Source organism: Homo sapiens, chromosome 18 (genome assembly GCF_000001405.40).
Source record: "Homo sapiens chromosome 18, GRCh38.p14 Primary Assembly".
In the NCBI taxonomy this organism is placed as follows: Eukaryota; Metazoa; Chordata; class Mammalia; order Primates; family Hominidae; genus Homo; species Homo sapiens.
In genome coordinates this window covers 13,394,641-13,419,134 of record NC_000018.10, presented here as the reverse complement: position 1 = coordinate 13,419,134, position 24,494 = coordinate 13,394,641, and the positions used below count along the sequence as shown (strand labels likewise).

At 46.9% G+C, this 24,494-nt stretch overlaps 1 protein-coding gene across 43 annotated transcripts in view; it reads right to left on the bottom strand.

The window, feature by feature from the left end:
• Nucleotides 1-24,494, bottom strand: part of LDLRAD4 (low density lipoprotein receptor class A domain containing 4) — a 435,073-nt gene that overhangs the window by 233,620 nt on the left and 176,959 nt on the right. Inside the window, exons 5-7 of one of the 43 annotated variants that reach the window (XM_047437786.1) lie at nt 9,997-10,142; nt 9,347-9,474; nt 6,168-6,260 (exon numbers count right to left, since the gene is read on the bottom strand). The exons of 40 other annotated variants lie outside the window; for them this stretch is intronic. The gene's annotated coding sequence lies outside the window, so the exon portion shown is untranslated. Of the gene's footprint in view, nt 1-6,167; nt 6,264-9,346; nt 9,475-9,996; nt 10,143-24,494 lie in introns of all 43 variants that reach the window. 2 more of the 43 variants (XM_047437787.1, XM_047437788.1) reach the window with 2 other exon arrangements.

Sequence of the window (24,494 nt, the reverse complement as noted above, 5' to 3'; positions counted from 1 at the left end):
GCAAAGTATAACTAAAAATTTAAGGAACTCCTTCAGACCCTTAATGATTCTATAAATATAGCCCTAAGGTCATTTGTAAAGCCAAGCAAATACATTCCAATTGAAGCACTCACCGCAAGTTTTCATCATTGGTGATAAAAGTACATGAAGTATTCTGTGTCCTAGAATCAAGCCACCACTAAATTCAATCATCTATGTATTCATTTATATAAAATCTCTATTTCCTGGTTTTCAGTCCCTAATGCACAAAGATTTTAAAGGAGGTGAGGCTGGGCTGAAAGCTTCCCAAGGGTGGGAACCAGGTGTGGCGGCTTAGCTTCTATTCTCTGGAGCAATGCTTGGATCTCCATAGGCACTTGCAAATATTTTGGAATGAATGTAGACTGAATAAATAAATGCTTCAGAAACCAAACTTGCAAGCAGTGCCAGCAAATCATAGCTCAAAATATTTGTTCATCAGCTGTTGTTCAAAACTTTGAACTTAGCACACCAAAAATGGTTTATGTGTCACAACATGCAATGTGCCAAAGTGCAGGTTGGTCGAAAGTTGAACACATAAAACCCAAGGGCTGTCTACAGCAACAGGGCCTGCAATGGAATAAAGACCCAGAAGCCAACAGCAGCGAGGCCGGAGACACAGAAAACACAACCAGAGTCTTCAGGGCAGCAACAGGAGATGCAGCTTTAAGGGTCCATCAGGCAGGAAGAACGACCCGGAAGAGGCTTGCCTCAGGCCAGACCCCATGGTATGAACTTGCAAGTCTCAGGGGCGAGGCAGATCAAAGGACTTTGGGTCCCTGGAACCATGAGAGGCTCCCTATAAGGATGGCGCCCAGCCAGGCCCTGAAGGCAGGTGACCAGAAGGGGTGGCAGTGTAGAGCCCTGCCCAGGTGGAGGGGGTACAGAGGAGTTCACTTCTGGCACAACCAGGGTTGAGTTGGGAGTTGGAAGAGAGCCTAATTGAGGAGGAAGCTACAGAGGGAGAAAGGAGCCAGCCTGGGAGGGCCTCAGAGGGCGGGTGGGGAGCGGGAGCTCCAGGGCTCAGTGCGGGTGCAGTGCTGCTGAGCACCTTAAACAGCCCAGCCTCCAGCACTGTCAGCACCTTAAACGAGATGTGAGCCATGTTGCTGGGGAAGCCTCCCACCTCCGGGTCCTCACTTCCTCCGTGGATAAGTGGTGTCTACCAATAGAAACCTGTGCCCAGTGGTTACCAGGGTTTTCATATGGCAAAATGTATATAGCAAAGAAGGTAGATAAAAAGAAACACACACACACAAACCACACACACACACAACACACACACACATTTACCTACAATAAACTGATTGAGCAAAAAGGAATACTGACATCTCCAGGCCACTGTAAGGGAGCATGATTATGTAGTTTGAAAAACAGCAAACTGGCTGGGCGTGGTGGCTCACGCCTGTAATCCCAGCACTTTGGGAGGCCGAGATGGGCGGATCACTAGGTCAGGAGATCGAGACCATCCTGGCTAACACGGTGAAACCCCGTCTCTACTAAAAAATACAAAAAAATTAGCCAGGTGTGGTGGCGGGCGCCTGTAGTCCCAGCTACTTGGAAGGCTGAGGCAGGAGAATGGCGTGAACCCGGGAGGCAGAGCTTGCAGTGAGCCGAGATCGCGCCACTGCACTCCAGCCTGGGTGACAGAGTGAGACTCTGTCTCAAAAAAAAAAAAAAAGAAAAACAGCAAACTAATAAAGCATTGTTCTACTGGCAAATAAATAGAGAGGTTTAGACCACCGCACCAAAGTGAAACAAATCACGTGGTTTTCCTTAAGACCTAACTTTCGCATTGAATTTTTGTATGAGCCTTATGAATTATGGCAGATAAACCTGAAAGAGAAGGAATCAACTTATGCAAACATACTTCTTAAAATAATTTTTCTAACTTTCAGACTTTGGCTGGGTGTATCCCTACTACAGTGAGATGTGAACTCTGGAACCTCTCAAGCTACAAGCCATTCCCCACAGGATTATCTGCCTTCACTTTTCTAATGTAACAACTGCTTTCCAAGGCAGTGTAGCACAGGTGATTAAGAGTGGATACTGCTGCAAGAGTGCCTGGATTTCGAAGCTGGCTCTACTACTTACTGGCTGTGCAATCTTGCGCAAGCCACTTAACCTGTCTGTGGTTCAGTTCCCTTAGCTATAAAAAGGAGACAGAAATAGTACCTACCTCACACGTTGCTATGAGGATTAATTGAAATAATATAAATAGAAAGCACCAAGAATAGTGTGGCACAGAGAGTATTATGTAAGTGTATGCTATAATTATTAATGATACCTTCTATTTTCATAAGTGTTTTTCCCTTTATTAAGAGTTTTGTAAAGGAATTAATCTTGTATAGTTCATACCTGTGTTCTTCCATTGCATAGAGCATAGCTTTTATTTGCTATAGCAAATAACATTTTTGCAAATAGCAAAGAAAATTTTGTTGAATAAATAAATGAGTGAATGAATTCCTATATTACTAGACACGGGCAAAAATGTTTTAAGGTGCCAGCATCATACCAAGAAACACAGATGTCAGAAGTAGACACAGAGCTTTCTTTAAGCCATCATATAATTCAAACGGTGGTTCTCTGCTGAAGCCTGTTTTCACCGTGTGTCTCTATAGCAGAGACGTGATCCCGAGCCCTGCTCACATGCCCAGAGAGATGACGAACCCATTAAGTGAAGGTGGAACCACCAACCACTAAACACAAAGTTCCTGTTATTGTTGGAAAAGGAAACTGGAAACAAAAGCCAGGGTTTCAAAAAGTGACAGTGCTTGGAGGATCTCATGCAAACCACTTAAAAGAAGGGCAAGAACTGGAAGAGGTCTGGGTACCCCACACTTGGCTGGAGAACACAGAATCGTGGGCATTCGCATTTAAAGCTGCACACTCAACCCTCAAAAGGTGCTCCTGGGCATCACTGGGCCCACTTCGCCAAAGGGAAACTGAGGATGATGACTCGCCATAGCTCAGAATAGCCCACGTGTGGCAGAGCTGGACTCAGCAGAGTGAGGACTCCAGTGTCCCCGCCAGCCCGATCTCTTCATGGAAGGTCTGGTCAGCCTGCCCTCAGCCCTGCGCCCTGCAGGGCACTGTGATGACTGGCCAGCACAGCCCACACCAAAGCTCTCCTACGACGCAAGTCACCGCAGAGATGAAGACAGAGCCATGCACGTTCCCCTCCTCTCAACCTCCATCCTGGAAGGCTCTCCCCTGGGACTGAGACACAGCTTCAAAGAAGGAGCCACGTGGGGTACAAGGGCATAGAGGGAGCACCCCTCCGGGCAGCCCAGGCTCCCCACCCACCCTGATGCCTGCTGGGCTGGGACACCGGGCAGCGTGGCCCTGGCTCCAGGCCCTGGCTTTTCCTTGGAGAACTGGAATCCAGTGGGAAAGATGGATATGGCGGACTGCAAGGGTTTGCAAGGGACCGTCCTGGGGGGGTGAGGTTTGCCTCTCTAGTAACCTGGAGGTGTCATCCACTTTGTGTATTAATCCTGGGGGCTCCCCTCAGTACACTACGTACCTGAAACTCTTGGAAACAAGAGCAGCTCCTCAGACAGCCCTAACCACCGGGGAGACAAGTCTGCCTATACAACCAGACTTCCTTTGGTGGGAAAGCACACCTCCCACCCCACACCCACCCTAGAGTAGCCGGGGCCTTGGCCTCAGGGCTGCCACCGCAGCTGTTCAGAAGAGCCACATCATCAGCTCAGGCGCACTATGTGCTATAGACACAGGCACGCAAGCCTCGTCTGTGGGGAAGGGTCGTTAACTGGAGAAAGGTCATACTTCCAGTCTATTACCCACCGTAATGAGCAAATGCAAATGAGAGACCTTTCTCAGGTCATAAGAGACTGTGTGTTTTGGAAACCTGAATAATCCCTTAACTGAGGAGGAAACTCAAGAGGAATAAGCCAGCATTTCTGGGGCTCAGGGCCCTGTGTTGTATTATTCCAGAGACCTCCAGGCAACAGATGCCCCCACAACCAGCCTCCCAGAGTAGCTGAGATTACAGGCATGGACCACACTGCCCAGCCCAGCTGTACTCTCACAGAAAGAAGATATAAAACTTCTTGGAAAAACTTACTAAAGAATGCAAATTACTACACAGCAATCTTTAGGTATCTGTAAGCACTGGACATCTCCAGTTTGAACCACAGACAAATGTCAATTATCCAAGGTCATGCATGAAAACAGTACCAAGAGTGGTTGCCCAAAAAACACTTCCATAGGCTTTGCAAAGAGTCTGTTTTAATACTTCGCTTGGCATACAGATGTGTCTGATAATCAGGGAGTTTACTGCCTGGCAAATAATGAAGCCACCCTAAGAAGGTCTACACAGTCCAAGGACAGAAGGGCGTGTGGGCTTCTCCTTCTCGAGCTCCCCACCCTTTCCTGCTGAGGACAGCAAGGGCAGGTGTCTGCAAGCCAGCCTCCTCCCTCACCATCCCTGTCCTGAGGAGATAATGAGTCCTTTTGGTTTAATGGACCTCCTGCTGGGCTGCAGCAAACACAGAAATGCAAAAGTAAGAAAGAAACTGTAATTTGTGACAATGGGGGACTTTAGCATATTCTCCAGTTAATCGTGTAATTAGTAAATGGAAACATGACTCCTCTTTGTAAAATTCAAATTCCACAGCCTGGCATCAAATGCACTCCAGTGTCTGGGTCCTGCCTGTCCTCTGGCCTCTAAGTGACAGTGACAATAGAGATGCCAACTGCATGAGGAAGGTACTGAACTGTACATTCACTGGCCCACTTAGTGCAATGAGGTGGGTATCAGTAACCCCATCCTACAAGGATGAAACGGGCTCCAAGAGGTCATGTGACTTGCCCAAAGCAACAAAGCCAAGCAATGGTGGGGATGGAGGCATCTCCCAAGGATGCCTGGCCCCAAGGCCCACCTGCTGTCCCTTCAACCAAGAGTCTTGCCTGCTAAGGCAGGCACCCCAAGATGTTCATCTCTGGATTTCATTTGTGCCTGGCACAAAACGAGGCATGAGGTAGACCTCCACTACAAATTTTGGAACAAAGCATGGTGGACTATAGTGCACCTCTGGTTTGAGAAAATATGTCCAGCACACCACCAGAGCAACACCATCCACTTATTTAATGATCACAAACAAGAAAACCTCGGGTATGGGTAGAAACGCAGGTACTCTCTTATAATTATTTCTTTTCCCAGTGATTTAAAAAAAAATTTTTTTTTTTTAATTTCTGGAGTTTCTCTATGTTGCATGGGCTGCACTCCTACTCCTGGGCTCAAGCACTCCTCTGCCTCAGCTTCCCACAGTCGCTGAGATTACAGGCGTGTGCCACCCCGCCCAGCCCAACCATACTCTCTCCTAGAAAGAAGATATAAAACTTCTTGGAAAAACTTACTAAAGAATGCAAATCACTACACAGCAATCGTTAGGTCACTGCAAACACTGGACATCCAGTAAATGTTGACAGTTGACTGAATGATTGAATAGAATTCCCAGACGTTTAAAGACATAATTTCCGTACTCAATTGAAGACATTATCCCTTTTCCCAAATCACATTCTACCAGGCTGTTTCTGTCAAATACAGTGTTCTTGAAAAATTACTGCAAGTGCCTGGTCAGAGACCTGAGGCCTCGATTGATCACACTATGAGATGAGGTTAAACGGAGCAATTCAATTTACAAAGATATTGATGCATGTTTAAAAATACTGTGATAGAAACTTCCGCAGAAGCTCACATTTACTTTGTCAGAATTCTCTATCAGCTTAAACACAAAATAGCCGGAATTTACGAACAGTTGACCAATTACATGTCAGTGAGTAGTGAACACGTACAGTGATATTTCTTGCCAAGCACTGAAACCTCCTTCCCTCCCCACTTGATAGGTCTGTGGGAAAGGGAGTGCCTTTGCAACAGAAAACGCAGATACAAGCACAGCACTGGATTCCAACCTTCCTTACAGCCAAGCACAGTCATGCGACCCAAGCTCCACTCAAAGCACCATCCTGGGCTTGACGTGGCACTGGAAACATGAGAAGACAGCAAGGCTCAAGAGGAGCCCTTCCTGCTGGTGGTGGCTGTTGCCTGCAAGAAGAATCCTGACTGATGCACAGCCTTGCTGTGATCCTGTCAGGTCACACACGCTGCCCTTACTACGTACCAGGAGAAGGAAGCAGCGCATCCAGGAAGCTCAGGACAGTCTTCAACTATGAACTTCTCAGCTCGGTTCATAGATCAATAAAAATTTGAGAAGCTGCTGGGAGCAAAGTGATCGTCCATAAGATCATGTACAAATTGGTACATTAAGTGCTCAGTTCATTCGTTCACTTACGGAGCGCCTACTGGCTGCCGGGTGCTATTCTAAGACACTGGGGCTTCAAAAACAAGGAAGACAAAAATCCATGCCCTCCAAGAGCTCATAATCTAGAAATGCTAACAGGTAAACAAATCCTTTTCTCACCACCGTAATTATATAGCTAGTTCAGTCCACCTGCCCTGCTGGAGTGGAGGCCCATAAAGTCGGGGACCCTGTCTGAACCTTCACTGCTGTCTCTCTAGTTCCTCATGTACCTAGTCCATAATAGGCACTTGATCAATATCATATGAATGGATGAGAGAGAAGTGAATGAATCTCATTCATTCAAATAGAAACACCATGGTAAATGTTATAATAGAGAAATATGGAACCTTATGATAATACTTCTTTATAAGGGAGATATTAGCTGACCTGAGTGCTGAAAATGAGCAGAAATTTTTCAGAGAGAAAAGAAAGATAAGGATACTTTAAGAGCTGGAAAGAACAGAGGCTGGGTGTAAAGGACATGTCATGCTCTAGGAATAGTAGGCAGTGTGATGGGGCCAGAGATTACATATGAGGAAGTAGCAGACAATGCAGTAACTGAGGCAAAGTCATGCCACTGATCTGACTACTGTCAAAGAGTTAGGGAATTGCCCTGAGCAAATACTAACTTCAGAACTCAGTGCAGGCCAGGCGTGATGGCTCATCCCTGTAATCTCAACACTTGGGAGGCTGAGGTGGGAGGATCACTTGAGTCCAGGAGTTTGAGACCAGCCTGGGCAACATAGTGAGACCCTATCTCTACCAAACAATTTTTTTAATTAGCTGGGCATTGGTGATGTGCACCTGTAATCAGCTACTCAAGAGGCTGGGGTGGGAGGACTGCTTGAGCCCAGGAGGTCAAGGCTACAGTGAGCCATGATTGCCCCACTGCACTCCAGCCTGGAAAACAGAGTAAGACTCTGTCTCAAAGAAACAAAAAAGAACTTGGGTGCAGACTACTGGGTTGGGTCTCATGATGGCAATTTCAACAAAAGTATCTGTATTATTCTGTTCTCACACTGCTAATAAAGACATAACAGGGACTGGATAATTTATAAAGGAAAGAGGTTTAATGGACTCACAGTTCCACATGGCTGGGGAGGCCTCACAATCATGGCTGAAGGCAAATGAGGAGCAAAGTCACGTCTTACCTGGTAGCAGGCAAGAGAGCGTGTGCAGGGGAACTGCCCTTTATAAAACCATCAGATCACATGAGACTTATTCACTATCATGAGAACAGCATAGGAAAGACTCATCCCTGTGATTCAATTACCTCCAACTGGGTCCCTCTCACGACAGGTGGGAATTATGGAAACTACAATTCAAGATGAGATTTGGGTAAGGACACAGCCAAACCATATCAGTATCCAAGTAAAATACTTGGAAGTAGTAACATATTAGTCTAATAGCAAATGCTTTGTTCAAGCATTTGTTAAGCACTTACGGCAAAACTATGAGATAAGCATACTAACAAAAGATGATTTTGCTCTTAGGACTCTATAGAGGCACTTTTTTTTCTTTCTTTTTTTTTTTTTTGAGACAGGGTCTGGTTCTGTCACCCAGGTTGAAGTGCAGTGGCACAATCTCAGCTCACTTCAAACTTCACCTCCCAGACTCAGGTGATCCTCCTACCTCAGCTTCCCAAGTAGCTGGGAATACAGGTGCATGCCACAACACCCAGCTAAATGTTTGTATTTTTAGTAGAGACGGGATTTTGCTATGTTGCCCAGGCTGGTCTTAAACTCCTGGATGCAAGCAATCCACCCGCCTCAGTCTCCCAAAGTGCTGGGATTATAGGCGTAAGCCACCGCACCTGGCCCGTATTGATACTTATAATAACTAACTGCCATCTTCTCTGGTGGCCATGAGAATGCACCCCATGGACCTTCAACTGGAGGGGCAGCCACTGTACCCTAAAAACCCATTCCTGCATTTTGCCCTGAATCTCCACTTCCCACTAACAAAAAGCCATCCACTGAAATCAAGCTAGCCTTTTACAAACAGAGCTTTCAGTTTCCCAAGAAATAATCAGTTTTATGAATTTCCTGCCAGCATCTAACCTGATTGGCCTTATCTCTTAGATTGTTAGCCTAATCACAAGGCAAATCTGAGGAAGGAGGAGAAATGTATACACAACATATTTCAAAGTCCAGTGTAGGCCATTATCTGTCATCCTGGACTCCTTATATGCTATGTTTCCATCCATTAATGCAGATTAAGCCTCACTGTGTAAACAATAGCAAAACTGAATGTCAATTAAAAGGGTATACATACCCATAAAGGTTTCTGTAAACTTCTTACTTTGAGATAATTTTAAATGTGAGGAAGAGTTGTAAAATCACTAGAGTTCCTGTCTACTCTCCTTAACCCACCTTCTCCAGTGTTTACATCTGACAGCTGCAGTGCAATCATCAAAACTAAGAAATTAAATTGGCATACTCCTATTATTATTTGAATTTCACCAGTTTTTCTGAATAATGTCCCTCTTCTATCCCAGGATCCCATCTAGGAGCCTGTGGTGTGTTTGTCCCGTCTCCTTAGCGCCCCCCATCAGGATCCCATCTAGGAGCCTGTGGTGTGTTTGTCCCGTCTCCTTAGCGCCCCCCATGCCATGTCAGGTCGGAAGTCCCTCCTTGCCTTTCAGAGCCTTGACACTTTTGAAAACTGCTGGTCCAGTGTTTTGCAGAACGTCCTTCGATTTGGGTCTGTGCGGTGTCTTATCACGATTAGAATAAGATTCTGCATTACTGGGAAGAACACCACAGAGGCAGTGTGCCCACTCAGTGCGTCGTGCCCTGGGGTACCACGTGTGGGTATGTTTATTGTTGCTGATGTTGACCTTGAGCACTCAGTGTTTGCCAGTTTCCTTCACTCTAAACCTACTATTTTCTTTTCATAATTAATAAACATTTATACTTGGAAAGACACTTTGAGACTATTCAAATATCTTGTTTCTCCTTTCTCATTGACTAATTTCAGCACCCAGTATCAGGTCTCACCTACAGCATCATTATTATGATGTTCTGATGGTGATTTTCTATTTTCCTCAATTCTTCTACATGTACTAACTGGAATTCATCTGAAACTCTTCTCCTCCAGCTTGCGAATGGCCCAAGCTGTCCCTAATCTAAGAATGAAACAGTCCATTAAGAATTAGTTTAGAGAATGTTCATGCTGTCAGATATAATACAAAATTGGCATATGTTCTAGAAACTAAATAAGATACAGGTTGAAGATAGAAATGTTTAAGAATGTAAATTGCACATAAGATACAATAGGTTAATAGTCTGACCTATCTATCAGTAGCTTAAAGTCTTCCTGTGTCTAATGGCAATAAATAAGAGACAAGGTTATTTAATAATCTATAGGCAGGGTAACCACAAACAATATGGTGAGGAATCATCTATAGTTAAGGACAGATCCCTAGAGGGCAATTAAGCATTTTACACAGGATCCCCAAGGGGGCCCCCACACATCTCCCCCTTCCCTGGGAGGGGAGGCAGCAGCCTACCCACCCCTTCCAGGCCCTCCTCAATCACTCACTCACTGCCATGAGGCCTGGTCTCATCTGTATTATGAAACTAGCCAGTTACTTCCCTAGTGAAAAAACAAACAAACAAACAAAAAACAATAAACAGTGTGATTATACCATGTCACGGAGGTAATGTGGAAAACAGGCAGAACCCAGCTCTTCATGGGCAGGCCTATTTGGGGGTCAGGGGTGGGCTGTGACACAAAGGCAGGATCACACAGCTCCTCTGAAGTCTCAGTAAGATGTTCTTAGAGACCTTCACCCTGTGCACACAAAGCCAAATGATGTAATCATCATCACTTCAGTAAACTTATTTCCATTGCTTAAAAAGTAACCCATATTCACTGTATGGGATTTACAAAACCCAACAAACTTTCTAAAAGCAAAAAAAGAAGGAAGAAAAAGACGAGAAAGAGAAAGAAAAAAAAGGAGCTACGGGAGAGAAGAAGAAAAGGCATCCTAACTTCCAAGCCAAAAGGAAGCTCGATTAATAAGCTGTGTGCCTGCCTGTAATCCCAGCACTTTGGGAGGCTGAGGTGGGTGGATCACGAGGTCAGGAGTTCAAGATCAGCCTGGCCAAGATGGTGAAACCCCATCTCTACTAAAATAACAAAAATTAGCCAGGTGTGGTGGCGGGTGCCTGTAATCCCAGCTACTCGGGAGGCTGAGGCAGGAGAATTGCTTGAACCCAGGAGGCAGAGGTTGCAGTGAGCCAATATCACGCCACTGCACTCTAGCCTGGGTGACAGAACAAAACTTCATCGCCAAAAAAATAAAAATAAAAAAAATTTAAAAAAAAAGCTGTGTGCCTTCTATTGACTGGTTTTCTACGGCTCACACCCTACTACTCTATCTCTCTCACCTTTTTTTTTTTTTTTTTTTGAGACAGGGTCTCACTCTGTCAGCCAGACTGGAGTGCAGTGGCATGATCATGGGTCACTGCAGCCTCAAACTTGAAGTCACAAGTGATCCTCCCACCTCAGCTTCCCAAGTAGCTGGGACTACAGGCCTGCACCACCACACCTGGCTAAATTGTGTATTTTTTGTAGAGACGGGGTTTCGCCATGTTGCCCAAGCTGGTCTCGAACTCCCAGCCTCAAGTGATCCTCTCATCTCGGCCTCCCAAAGTACTGAGATTACAGGCATGAGCCATTGTGCCTGGACTTCATATTTCATATATAATTGAATATAAGGTGACAGTAATTGTAACACACTATATTTTGTGTGCCAACAAGAAAGAAAAAGAAAATACAAACAATTGTAGTTGTAAGACCTGATCAATTATAAACCAAATTCCAGTTTTGAAGATGTGGAAATGGGCAGGGGGGTGCCGTTTGTCAAACTGACTAATTATGGTTTCTTAAACATGGAGTTCTTAGAACAATTAATACAAAGGGACCTAGGTCCTACCCTCAGGAACGTGGTGGGACAGACCCTAGTATAAGAAACACACAAATATGTCATTAAAAGCAATGGTGAGGGCTGTGAAGAAAATATCTCCAAGGCAGACAGGTGGTTCCACTGCCCTATCAGCTCCTGGCTCCCTTTCTCAGAAGCTGGCCAGGTCCACGCCCACCATTTGGCCAGGCAAAGATTCTCTGAGCTCCGAATGGCCATCTGCTCCCAAGGGGGTGAAACCCTGGACAAGATGCACTCATACAGCTCCTACCGGTGTTAGTACCCTCAGGTAACCTTGGTACAAATTAGAAGAGATCAGGTGTGTTCAGGGTGGTATGGTCATAGACCTTGGTACAAATTAGAAAAGTCAGTTAACATATGTAAGTGACTTGAGGCACAATGCATTGTCTTGTTCATCTTTGCCTCCAACTGCGGTGCTAACATAGCGCCTAAGCACTGTGGGCATTCTATAACACTGGGTAGATTTACTCGGGATAATCACATCACCGTCAATTAATCTAATGCTATGATGAAGAAAAAATTACATTTTCCTATCAGCTAAATTACTTTTATGTCTCTAATAATAAATGAGATGAGAGAAGCTCTGGAGCCACATTCAGAGCAGCCTCTATGAGGGGTGCACCAGAGTCGCGCAGGTGACATCCAGCAGTGTCGCACACTCATGCACAAGTTTACAGCAAGGGTAGGGAAAGCTGATATCCCGGGGCATCCTACACACAGTACACAGAGAACCCATCAAAAGAAAAGCTTAAAATGCATACCGCCACGCACTTTGTTTACTATTCCGTCCTGCAGCCCGCCACGCCGTGCTAAGTTTATCGCACATATGAAAGGGCAGAGGCCGACAGTCCTGGACTTAAATTGCCATTAATAAACAGTCACCTCATTTTATTGCTGAGTCAGTGTCTGCTCTACAAAGGTTATGGACTCAAGTCCACCTTCACCCGCCACACCACACCATCCTAAGCACCCTGACAGTTGCATTTCTACTCAGGGACAGGCAGCCCTGGAGGACAGGCTTCCTCCCGTGAGTGTGCAGAGGCCCCTCAGCAGGTGCATGAGGGGACCACTGTGCTAAAAACCCATGGCAAGTGAGAGCAAGTGCAACCAGGCCTAGTAGGAGTCGGCCCCAGCCTGCACCGTGGGAAACAGCCTCCCACCCTGTCCAGGTCCCAGGAGCCTGCCCACTCCCACTGTAGCTCCCGCTCAGAGATAGTCAGAATGATGAGGCTCCTCTGAGAATTCCAGAGCAGGCAGGCCCAGCACAAAGGGGAAGCCTCTTCCCCAGTAAACAAAATAATAATCATGCGCACCACGGCATCGACGGGGCAGAGAATGAGGTCCTCCTGACTATATCCTCGTGTTGGTGTTCTGCATGATGCCAGGTGTTCCAGCTTCTCTGGAACAAAGAAAATGCCCAGGGAGCACTGCACATGTCACTTCCTGACATATAGAGGTCCCAAGCTTCTTGCTTACAGGTCACTGTCATTTCTAGGACTTGCAAACAACTTGCAGAAACCAGCCCATGGCACCTTGGCACCATGTGTTCCCAACTGAGATCCGTGACTCTCTCAGCTAGAAGGCACCAAGGTCACTTGGGGGCTGCAATTTCACCATCCGTCATCAGCCGAGAGGACCAGTAGGCAGGAATCCAGGACAGTGCTCCCCAGGGGGCCCAGGCATAACACAAGAGCATGGGCGTGGGTCCCCTAGCACTGGGGCTGCCAGCATGGGTGCCCAGCACTGTTAGATGACAGAGTAAAATATGCTGCAAAAGTAGAGGCAACATTCTCGGCCATCAAGAAATGTGATATCGCTGTTTTCAAAGTTGCACAGGAAGAATCACCGTGGAACCTTTACTGAGTTTAAAGAAACGGACTTAGGAAGGAATTGTCTCTCACAGCAAGATAAGCTGCCTGCTCTAGAGGACAGAAAGTGAGCTGCGACAGGAGCGGGCCCAGGAGCCTGGGTGCTCACCCACACCTCTGTGGCACTCAGACACCCTCAGCTCAGAGCAGGACAGGGCCCTGCACGCCAGAGCTCAACAGTCCACAGTGAAGCGCTTCCAATTCCAATGGTGAAAACGCTCGCATAGGGGCTCGGCACGGTGGCTCATGCCTGCAGTAATCTCAGCACTTTAGGAGGCTGAGGCGGGTGGACTGCTTAAGGCTAGGAGTTCAAGAACAACTTGGGCAATACAGCGAGACTGTCTCTCCAAAAAAAAAAAAAAAAAATTTAATTAGCCAGGCATGGTGGCTTGTGCCTGTGGTCCCAGCAACTCGGGAGGCTGAAGCAGGAGGACAGGAGGATGGCCTGAGCTCAGAAGGTCAAGGCCGCAGTGAGCTATGATTGCATCACTGCTCTCCAAAATGGATGACAGAGTGAGACCCCGCCTCAAAACAAAACAAAATAAAAAAATGGTGGCAACGAACTTGTAGTTTACATTCTCCATTTTAAGATCACACATACTAGGTTAAGGGCCTGGGTTCAGTGTCAGATAACCTGGGTAGAAAGTCCAACTCTGCCACCAACAAGATGTATTGTCTCTCTAAGCCTCAGTCTTTTGGGTATAAAACAGGTTCAATACCTACTTCTTGAAGTCACTGTGGAGACTAAAGAGATGCTATATATGAAGTACTCAGCACAGCACCTGACCCATGGTATATAATTAAATGCTAACTAATAATATTAATATTATACATAATATTATAATAATAATTTTGTATTTGTTCATCATTACTACCTTCTGTTTATCAAAATAGCAAACGTGCAGCTTCCCTTAGGGGATCCGTGACCTTCCCAGGGGTTCCCACTGCTTCAGGGTTCACAGAGGTCACACCTACTTTTACGACCTCTTCATTGGGTTTCGCTCACACTGCTTTTTTCTTTCCTTCTTCATACGACCTACAGAGATTTGCGATTTCAATTCTTTTGCATGCATTTCTGAAACACCACCGACAGCTGAAACGCATATTAAAACAGGGCCTGAATTTGTACAGTTACTTTTTAAGCATCTTAATATAATTTTTTTTTTTTTTTGAGACGGAGTTTCGCTCAGTCGCCCAGGCTGGAGAGCAGTGGCACGATCTCGGCTCACTGCAAGCTCCGCCTCCCGGGTTCACGCCATTCTCCTGCCTCAGCCTCCCGAGTAGCTGGGACTACAGGCACTCACCACTACACCCGGCTAATTTTTTTGTATTTTTAGTAGAGACGGGGTTTCACCATGTAAGCCAGGATGGTCTCGATCTCCTGACCTCGTGATCCGCCCGTCTCGGCCTCCCAAGGTGCTGGGATTACAAGCATGAGCCACCATGCCCGGCCGCATCTTAATATAAATTTTTAACGACAATAAAAGTGCAGCGCCCAGCACAGGAGCAGCACCCAGTGAGTGGGCTGTGTCCACGTGGGACAGCGTCCCACAGCTCCTCTGATTGCAGCTGCGTCGTGAAGGCACAGCCAGGCTGCGGCCACACCGTCGCGGCACTCCACTCTGTTGAGCATCCGGCCTCCGAGTGTCCCGTGCACATCTCCACGCCTGTTCAGGGGCAGGGGAAACAGCGGGGATGCAGAGCAAGGGAACAGTGATGCCCCCCAGGGGAAGGGGCCTGTGCCACGGCACCCCCGACACACCTCAACAACGCTCAAGGAAGGGTTCCATCCTCCAGGGCGCCTCCCAGCTCTCTGAGACATTCGTCCAGAAGCGGCAGAATCTGAAAATACTGGCCTCTTATTAAATATGCCTGGAGGGAGAGATGGAAGTCATTTCCCGGGCCACACTAGCCTAGCCACTGGGGGACAGGGTGGGAATCAAGAGGCCCCGCCTCAGCCTCCCCCGGTTCAGGGTCCTTGCGCTCAGTGTAGATAGACATCACCTCCTTACAGGCTGGGTGCCTCCCCGGGACAGGGCGCATCCAGATGGCCTCCCTCTTCCACCCAAACATCGTCCCGCCAGTCCCAGCCACTCTCAATCATCACAGGCTTCACAGACAACAGAAAAAACCTGCTTTAAGGTCATGGCCTCCCCATGCCCTTTCTTTTAGAGGTAAAATATATTAGAACCAATCTGAATTCTGTTCATTTACACCCTGGCTCCTATAAAGACACGCAGTCCCACGAGGATTTTACAAGGCAGTAAAACATCCCCTGTTGAAAGAGAACTAAATAAGGTCATGATGCAGGGCCACAAAATCACCAAACCACACATTCACCATCAGAAGGGGGTCTCAGAGACCATGTTAATTCCTGATTTCACAGAGAAACTGAGGCCAAGAGAGGTGAAGTAACTCACCCAAGGTCACACAGCGTTGTGGGTTTCACAATGCAGGAACTGCCAACATACACTCACTGCCATTTATTCTGAAAGCAAAGAGAGTTTTGCTATCTGTTCTCAGATGGACTCTTTCCTGATAATAACGCCATGAAGTGATCATGGGTCCTAGTGTCAGTCTATGACACTGCACCAGGCCGATATATTTTTCACCACAGAAGAGAGACTCCAGTCCCCATGTTTTATTTTATTCACCACAAAAGAACAGTTATTATTAACTCATTTTTGATAAAACACTTCCATTCTTACTTTAAAAAAGAAACTTTATAAATGAACAAGGGTAAGAAAGTAAAAATTGCCTCATGCTCCTACTCAGGGGTGGTCCCTGTTAGCATTCTGGCATGCATCCGTCTATTAAGTCTTTATTCTTCATTTTAAAAAACAGAATCATCCTCTTCATGTTGTTTTAGGATGTACTTTTTTCCACTTAAAAATGTATCGTAAGCCTTTCTCCAGGACAGCAAATACTGTTTTTCAATATCATTTTAATAGCTACATACTATTTCAGCATAAGAATGTGCTATTATCATTTAACCACATATCATTTGGAGACTGGCTTAATGTTTTAATATTGTTGTTTCTAAGTTTTGATTGTGAAGGCCAGTGGGAGAGCAACCCCTTCCAATCTCCTGTCATTCGCAAATGTGATAAGCATGTTTTTCATCACCTTTACCCATGTTCCTGATAAAATCTCGAGACAAAACTGTTAGATTTCCTTCCTGGTTGACATTTATCCATTCAACTTTCTTTGGTTTTCGCAATTTGGAATTTGAATGATGGAAGAGTCCCCAAATCATCACAAATACCATTTCATTCATTCAACATATGTTTACTAATTGCTGTCTATAGAAGCAGCACTGACCTAGGAGCTACGGAAACAAATGCAACGTGTTAGAAAGACTTTAGAAATGAGAACTCTTAGGACTCTTGGTCACAAAACATACCCAGATTCAGCATCCCAAAAGATGTAATGTTTTTCACTTAAAAACGAAGAGATCTTTAATTTTTCGTAAGTCTCTTTTTAATTAAAAGAAGAGCCCTGCAGGTGCCAAAACATGTTTTGGTAATCTAGATTATAAAAATTGTTCAAGTTATTGGAGACAACAATCCTGTAATTCAAGATTGAGCTACTGGGGAACCATTAACGCTAGAAGTGAGTTTCTGAAAATGGGACGTTTATAAGAGAAGTGTGAGTTCGGGTCAGGGTAGCAGGGTCCTATAACCAAATAGCAGCTGTGGTTGTGAAGAAAGGGCAAGGGGCTGTGCTGACACCTGCACAGAAACCAGGACTCACCCAGGGGCACAAACAAAAAGGAACGGGGCCCACAGCCTGAAGGATCTGTTGGAAAAGAAGGGAAAAGCACGTTGTTGGTTCCTATCTTTTTAAAAGACGGTATTTAATGCTGAAATATCATGAAAAGTGCATCAGATGTTCTCATTTTAGGTGAGAAGAGACAAAGTATGGCAGATGAAAGAGCGATTTGGCAAAGCGCCACCACTGATTCTCTGCGCTGTTTCATCCTGCCATCGTCCCGGATAAGGAGGAACCACCGTTGGAAACTGTGAAGTCAGTCCACAAACCTCAGGGAAGCGTGAGAGTAACTTCCAGCAGGGAAGTCAGTCCACAAACCTCAGGGAAGCATGAGGATAACTTCCAGCAGGGCCTGGTGGCACTGGTCACCTGCCAGAGGGGGGCTGAAACCACACAGAAGGAAAAAGCCTCAGAGTCCCCAAGGCGGGTCCAGCTTAGAAGTGAACCCAGGCTGGGAGCAGACCCCATTCTCCACGTGTCTGACCCCAAATGGCTGCAGCCTGCATCTGGGGGACAAAGACCAAGCAAAACATCATCATTTGCTTCCTGCACCAGACTCTCCTGAAGACAGGCCCAGGCTGTCCAGACCTGAGCACGGGGCATCCTCTCCACTACGGGGTGGGTGACTTCCTTCCCAGGGCCTCGGGGACGCACAGGAGAGTCCGCCCAACCCCCAACCTGCTCCTCTCACGCTCACACCAACACATCTGAGCAATGCACTTACAAGGAGCCAGGAAATACATAAAGTGCAGTAACCCTAAATATAAAGCCCTTCTACTGTGGTGAAACTCAGTGTTGGAGAAAGGGACAGTTTTTTTTTTTTTTTTCAAAGCGATGATTTAGAAAAAGACAATATAAATGTATTAAATATATAGCAAACATTCCTAGCCAAAACTGACAGTCTTACCCAGCTTCTCCCTTCCTTTGGAAATGAATGAAATTACAGTGACTGCCCACCTGCCTGTCTGCTCCTGGGCATGTGGCCTCTGGACAACTGACACACTGTTCCCCAAACACCAACTCTGTTCCAGCCCGAGTCCTCTGCCCTGGCTGCTCTTTCCTGAGCCCACACTCCCTGCTCTCTATGTGCCCTTGCCCTCCCTTGTCCTTAGCGAGGCCTCACCTTGCCCTCCTATCAGCAACGGCCATTCCCCCCATCTCTTGCCCATCTCCTTCCCATACTTGATTTTCTACGGGACCTGAATGCTGTCTGAAATGGCAGGATACATTTGATTACTCTATTCTGTCTCCCCAGACATGTGTGAATTCCATGAACATGGGGTCTGCCTCCACCTTACTCAGCCCTGTGTCCCCAGTGCCTACTACAGTGTCTGGTATACAGCAAGTGCTCCAGGAACACATGTGAAGTCAATAAATCTAGGAGTGGGCCTCCGCGGCTCACCTCATGGCCCGTAAGTGAACCACGTCCTTTCCTCCGTCATCCCTACACCAACAGCAAGGCTTCTTCTGGTCAAAGCATTTTGAAAGAATGTGCGAGAGAAGGCTTTGCTCCCTCTTATGGGCTCACTTGTGATATGACAGATACGAGTGTGAACATAGCTGGGCTCATCACTGCCCCGGTTCCTCTCCAGTCCTGAGCTCCAATCATAAACACTCTTTTCACCGTCTCCTCCCCATCACCACGTTTCTAAGAGTCAGGGCTGCTCATGTGTGCACGGACTGCACAAAGAGAAGGCTCCGTCTGGAGCCCGCAGGTCTGGGCCCCACACCCAGCAGCCCAGTCCCAGTGCCATGACAGGTGGGCCTACCCTCACCCCTGGACTCTGACCCAAGCCCAAATTCCTGCCAGAAACAGAAATCCCTTTAGGCCTCCAGGATCTTAAAAAGACACAAGGAGGTGGATCAAAGACCCCGTGGCACTTTTTTATATGCAGAAATGAAATCGTCCCACCTTGCATGATTCCCTCTCTTTTACCCCACGCTAAAGAATAAACTAACTGTGCAAGTGTATGTGACATGGATGAGCTGCCCCAAAGAAGCCTGCCATCCAAGCAAATTATGTAGCATTTTATTCCACGAAATATTTTCCAGTTTTGTCATTTCCAAGCACCTAGCCCAGTGCCCAGCGTAAAATTCAATGAAAGTCAATAACCGCTAACGCCGACTGGCTCTCCAGGCCCAGAAATGTTTGCATCAGACAAACAACAGGGAAGAGTAACGATAAAGATATGGAGTCTAAACTGCTCAGCGACATGTTTGTTTAAATTCTATTTCCACTTTGTTATAAAATGCAGCAAAATAATTGCATCTAAATGACAAATAGGTAATAAAGGGTCTTCCTGTGGGGAAATCGATCTTCACGGAATACATTCAGAACAATTCATCATGCAGGGACATAAGATCAACTTACCAAGGCATCTTCAAGAATCCGAGGCTTGTTTTGTTGTTGTTTAAAAATGAACTATTAATAGAAGAGCATATGTTCACGTGAGTTTACAGCAGGAATTCCGATAATGCTGCCATCCCTGGAAACCCTTAGGAGCTGTTCTTCTAAGGATGTCCTCAGATGCCACTGGCAAATGGGACGCCCATGTGGCTCTGCAGATAGCGAGCTGGGGTCTCAGAGTTAGCAAATATTTGGGGGCCAAGTTTGGTCAATAAAGTGAGTCGATGGCTAACAACTGCCTGTTGCCATAAAGTCATGTTTGAGTAGCAGCAGTGTGCCTGAAATAACAATAACTATTTATTGCATGTTTACACATGTGTCTGGCTTCGTTGCAAGTGCTTTATCTGCATAAATGGATGTATTTTCCCCAACAAACCTCTAAAGTACCTATTGTTATTGTCATTTTCACATTATAGATAAGGAAGTTGAGGCACAGAGAGGTTAGGTTGCTCACCATATGCCACACAGGGTGGTGTGGTACAGCCAGGATTTGAGCCCAGGAACATGCACATGTGTATAAACACATCACTGTCCACTCTGTTTAGGGCAAAATACATACAGCGTCTTTTTTTTTCTTTTTTTTCTCTTTTTTTTGAGACAAGGTCTCACTCTGTCACCCAGGCTGGAGTGCAATGGTGTGACCACAGCTCACTGCAGCCTCAAACTCCAAGGCTCAAGCCTCCTGAGTAGCCAGGACTATAGGCACACACCACCACATCTGGTGGCATCTTGCTATGTTGCCCAGACTGGACAGGAACTCCTGGGCTCAAGCAATCCTCCTACCTCGGCCGCCCAAAGTGCTGGGGTTATAGGTGTGAGCCACTGCTCCCAGCCCCGATCATCATTACAAAGATGAAGATCTGGGTGGCTGCATCTCTGCGCACGAGCATACTCCATGAGAGTGGACACAATACTGGAACCAATGCCCCGTAGGGAAGTGAGTCCCAGGCAACAACACACGGTTGCTATAGTGCCCCCGGGGAGGGTGGGCTGGTCACTGGCAGGGCCTGGTTCTGCAGAGACGTATCCCCACGTCCAGGCTGGTGGTCAGAGGCTGTGAGGACACCAGCAGCCCACCAGCACACTGCCTATCCTCTCTGTGAGCGCCAAACCCACATCAACAGAGCATTGATCACTACATATCAAGTTGTTAGAGGGAGGGGCCGCCCATCTCCTTCGAAACCTGTCCTTAAGCCAAAACTGAGACCCTCGTTACCCACCCACAGTCATTCCCACTTTCCCACCCATCTTTCTGCTCTCCTACTTCCCATCAAGACCCACACTCAAATCTGAGCTCTTCTGATAAGCTCAATGGTATTTCAGCAATTTTCTTTTTTTTCAAAACTGTTTATGTTCACTGTGGTAAAATGTACGTAACATAAAATGCCCCATTTTTTCCCATTTTCAGGTTTGCACTCTCACACTGCTACGCAAGCATCACCACCGTGACGCTGTGCTGCTTTCACGCCTAAGCATTCCAAAAGCAGAATGACAAACGCCAGTGAGGTTATCTAAGGTACACATGGAAAAGTTTGTATTTTCCAACTTAGAACACAGACAACCCCATCAAATGCTTAGTATTTGCGTTGGGTTCGGCGCTTCAGCCTCCTGCCTCTCTCCCTCCGTCCCCTCCTGCCCCAACTCGGTTCTGAAGGAAACGCCACAGTGGGAGGATCTGAGACAGCCCCACTTTCAACCCTGACATGGTGGCCCCCACTGGCCACTGCGTCCTCAAGGAGGGTCTCTCGGGCCTGTGCAGATCCTGAGCCACAAACTCGGATCACGCCCACACCTCCTGGGGCTGTCTCAGGGAGCACACACGGCCACATATGCGAAAGCACCTGCCGTGGCAGACAATTAATCTTCACTCCTTATGTCAGCTCTGTGAAACAGCGTGCGCTGAGATCAAGATAGCATCCCTCCAAAAGGGCAGGGAAAACACCCTGAATTTTCTGCAATTTTATCACAAAAGAAAAAAATGAGTGTAGATGATAGACCAGCCTGGTTTTCTCCCCAACTCCCAGTACGAGGAGTGCTGCGCCGTGGTAGCACCGTGCTTTGTCGTCCTGGGGCAGGGCCTGCTGGGTCCCATGGCTTTTTCAGTGAGTGCCAAGGACATGGGTCCTGCTGCTCTAGGGCTCTACAGACAAGATAACAAGAGACAGGTGGTAGGATTCAGAAACACTGATCTCAGGATGATTTTCCTAAGAAGTCAGACAAACCCAGCAGGGAACAGTGGCTCATGCCTGCAATCCCAGTGCTTTGGGAGGCCACAGCAGGAGGATAACTTGAGGTCAGGAATACAAGATCAGCCTGGAAAACATAGTAAGACCCTATTGCTGCAAAAGGGCATTAAAGTTTTTAAAAATTAAAAACAAAAGTCAGTTTGGGAGGCCGAGGTGGGTGGATCACGAGGTCAGGAGATAGAGACCATCCTGGCTAACAGGGTGAAACTCTGTCTCTACTAAAAATACAAAAAATTAGGCAGGTGTGGTGGCGGGTGCCTGTAGTCCCAGCTACTTGGGAGGCTGAGGCAAGAGAATGGCATGAACCAGGCAGGCGGAGCTTGCAGTGAGCTGAGATCTCACCACTGCTCTCCAGCCTGGGCGACAGAGCGACAGAGAGAGACTCCGTCTAAAAAAAAACAAAAACAAAAAAATAAAAGTCAGGCAAACCCAACAGCAGCTGTGGCTGGTCTCTCCCTCAGGGTTGGCGGACCCAGCAAGCCTAGGACAGAACCCTCGTGTGAAATGGGCACACCCCCATCTCCTTAGGGAGTCTGGAGGCCTGTTGTCTACTTGGCAACTGGAATATAGCTTCTTTAAAGGAATTCTTTAAAATACAATATGGCATCTAGAAACATTTATTAATGTATTTTCTTCTGTACAATCTCTACAGCTGTACCGTCAGCCCTCTGTATCCACAGTTTCTACATTTGCAGATTCAACTAACTGCAGACTGAAAATATTGAGGCAAAAATACAAATAACAATAAAACAATAAAAAATAGGCCAGGCGCAGTGGCTCACACCTGTAATCCTAGCACTTTGGGAGGCCAAGGCAGGAGGATCGCTTGAGCCCAGGAGTTTGAGACCAACCTAGGCAACATGGCAAAACTCCGTCTCTACAAAAAATAAACAATTAGCCAGATGTGGTGGCATGTGCCTGTAGTCCAAGCTACTCAAGAGGCCAAGACGGGAGGATCACTTGAGCCCAGGAGGTTGAGACTGCAGTGAGCTACGATGGCGCCACTGCATTCCAGCCTGGGTGACACAGCAAGACCCTGTCTAAAAAATAAAAAACAATACAAATTTTTAAAATATAGTATAACAACTATTTACACAACATTTATATTGTATGTGGTATCATAAGTAATCTAGAGATGATGTAAAGTCTATGAGTGGATGTCTGTGTGTTCTAAGTATATGCACCATCATTTTATATCAGGGACTTGAGCATCCACAAAGGACAGCAAGGCTGATTGTGCTAACAGAGCACAGAATTACACGCCCAGCTAGGGCACCACGTTATTATTTTGTATTCTTTTTTTGCCCCTAGGAAATCTTGAACCAGGAGATGTCTTTCTCACACCACCCTGGAGTATTCTACAAATGCCAACATAAATTGAGAGGAAAAAGAGTCCATACTCCCATACGGACTATTATTGGTTAAAAAATTTTAACGGAACCATAAACCACTACCCAGACGTTACACTTGTTTATTTTTGCATCCCATTTCTGGGTTCCCCCATTTAAACATAGTATCCTGAAAAAACACAGAGACCCGGGACTTGACTTCTAGCCAAGTTTGAAGACCCTTGGCCTGTGACGACTCCATGAGACTCTGGAAGAGAGGCGATTATCAGCCCAGCACAGGCAGGTGGCAGGGCTGAAGTTCAGCTAAAAGCCCTATCAAACCGGATATAAGGAACCAGAGGGGATGTCTTGTGCTGGAGATTGATTCCCACGAGCAGAGGGCCCCGGGAGCTAAGCTAAAATCCTCAACCTCTGCAGCCCATGCCCCCACCCCCACGCCAGCTCCCCACCCCACGCCAACTTCCGCCCCCACGCCAGCTCCCGCCCCCACGCCAGCTCCCCACCCAACGCCAACTCCCGCCCCCACGCCAGCTCCTGCCCCCACGCCAGCTCCCCACCCAACGCCAACTCCCGCCCCCACGCCAACTCCCGCCCCCACGCCAACTCCCGCCCCCACGCCAGCTCCCGCTCCCACGCCAGCTCCTGCCCCCACAACAACTCCCGCCCCCCAACAGCTCCAACCCCAACAGCTCCCACCCCCACAACAGCTCCCACCCTGCCAGCCCCCACCCCCACGCCAGCCCCCACCTCCACACCTGCATGTGATGTCATCAGAGCTATGGCAGCTAACTGTGCAGATCGTGATGACACTCAGACTGTACACTCCTGGGACAGAAGTATGGCATGACAACTATTAAATATTTATTAAATGAACCCCTGATTTTTATGAGGCCTTTCTGTATAGTCAACTTCAAGAAGACTATGAAAGAAGACGGGGAAGAACATTTATCGAGCACCACTATAAGCCAGACTGTGTTTTGGTACTTTACAAATGTTATTTCACTTAATCTTTATACAGAACCTACTCACTGGCCATTATCTCTACCTCAGTGTGGTAAAGAGTGCACTTCAGAGAGGTCAGCTGATCTATCAGTGTCACAGAGCAGGAACTGGGGCGTGACCGGGGCAGGCTGCTCCTCCTGGAAGCAATGCCTTCCCCAGCCTCTGAGCTCATCTGCCAACAGAGAGCACAGGAGAATCCAGTATTAAGGACTCCAGAGACATCCATACACTAACAGAGGAAGAGGCTAGGACCCAAGAAACTACAAGAGGCCACGTATGGAAGCAGTCACCTGCTTTCTGCACATGTTTGATTTCTCCAGAGCTAAGTGGCTCCATTTCAGGGATAACTACAACATCCAAGTTTCAGATGTACAATGAACAAAAGCCCCCATTTTCCAAAGAACCTAATGAGACATGCAAGTTGCTTTGATCCTGGATACTCAGTGGCAGAGGATTCATCTCAAACAATGCTCATACTTACTGACAGTAGAGCCAGCATTCAAACTGGTCTTGGCTGTGCTATCAGCCCTAACACCCAGCAATGAGCAGTCAC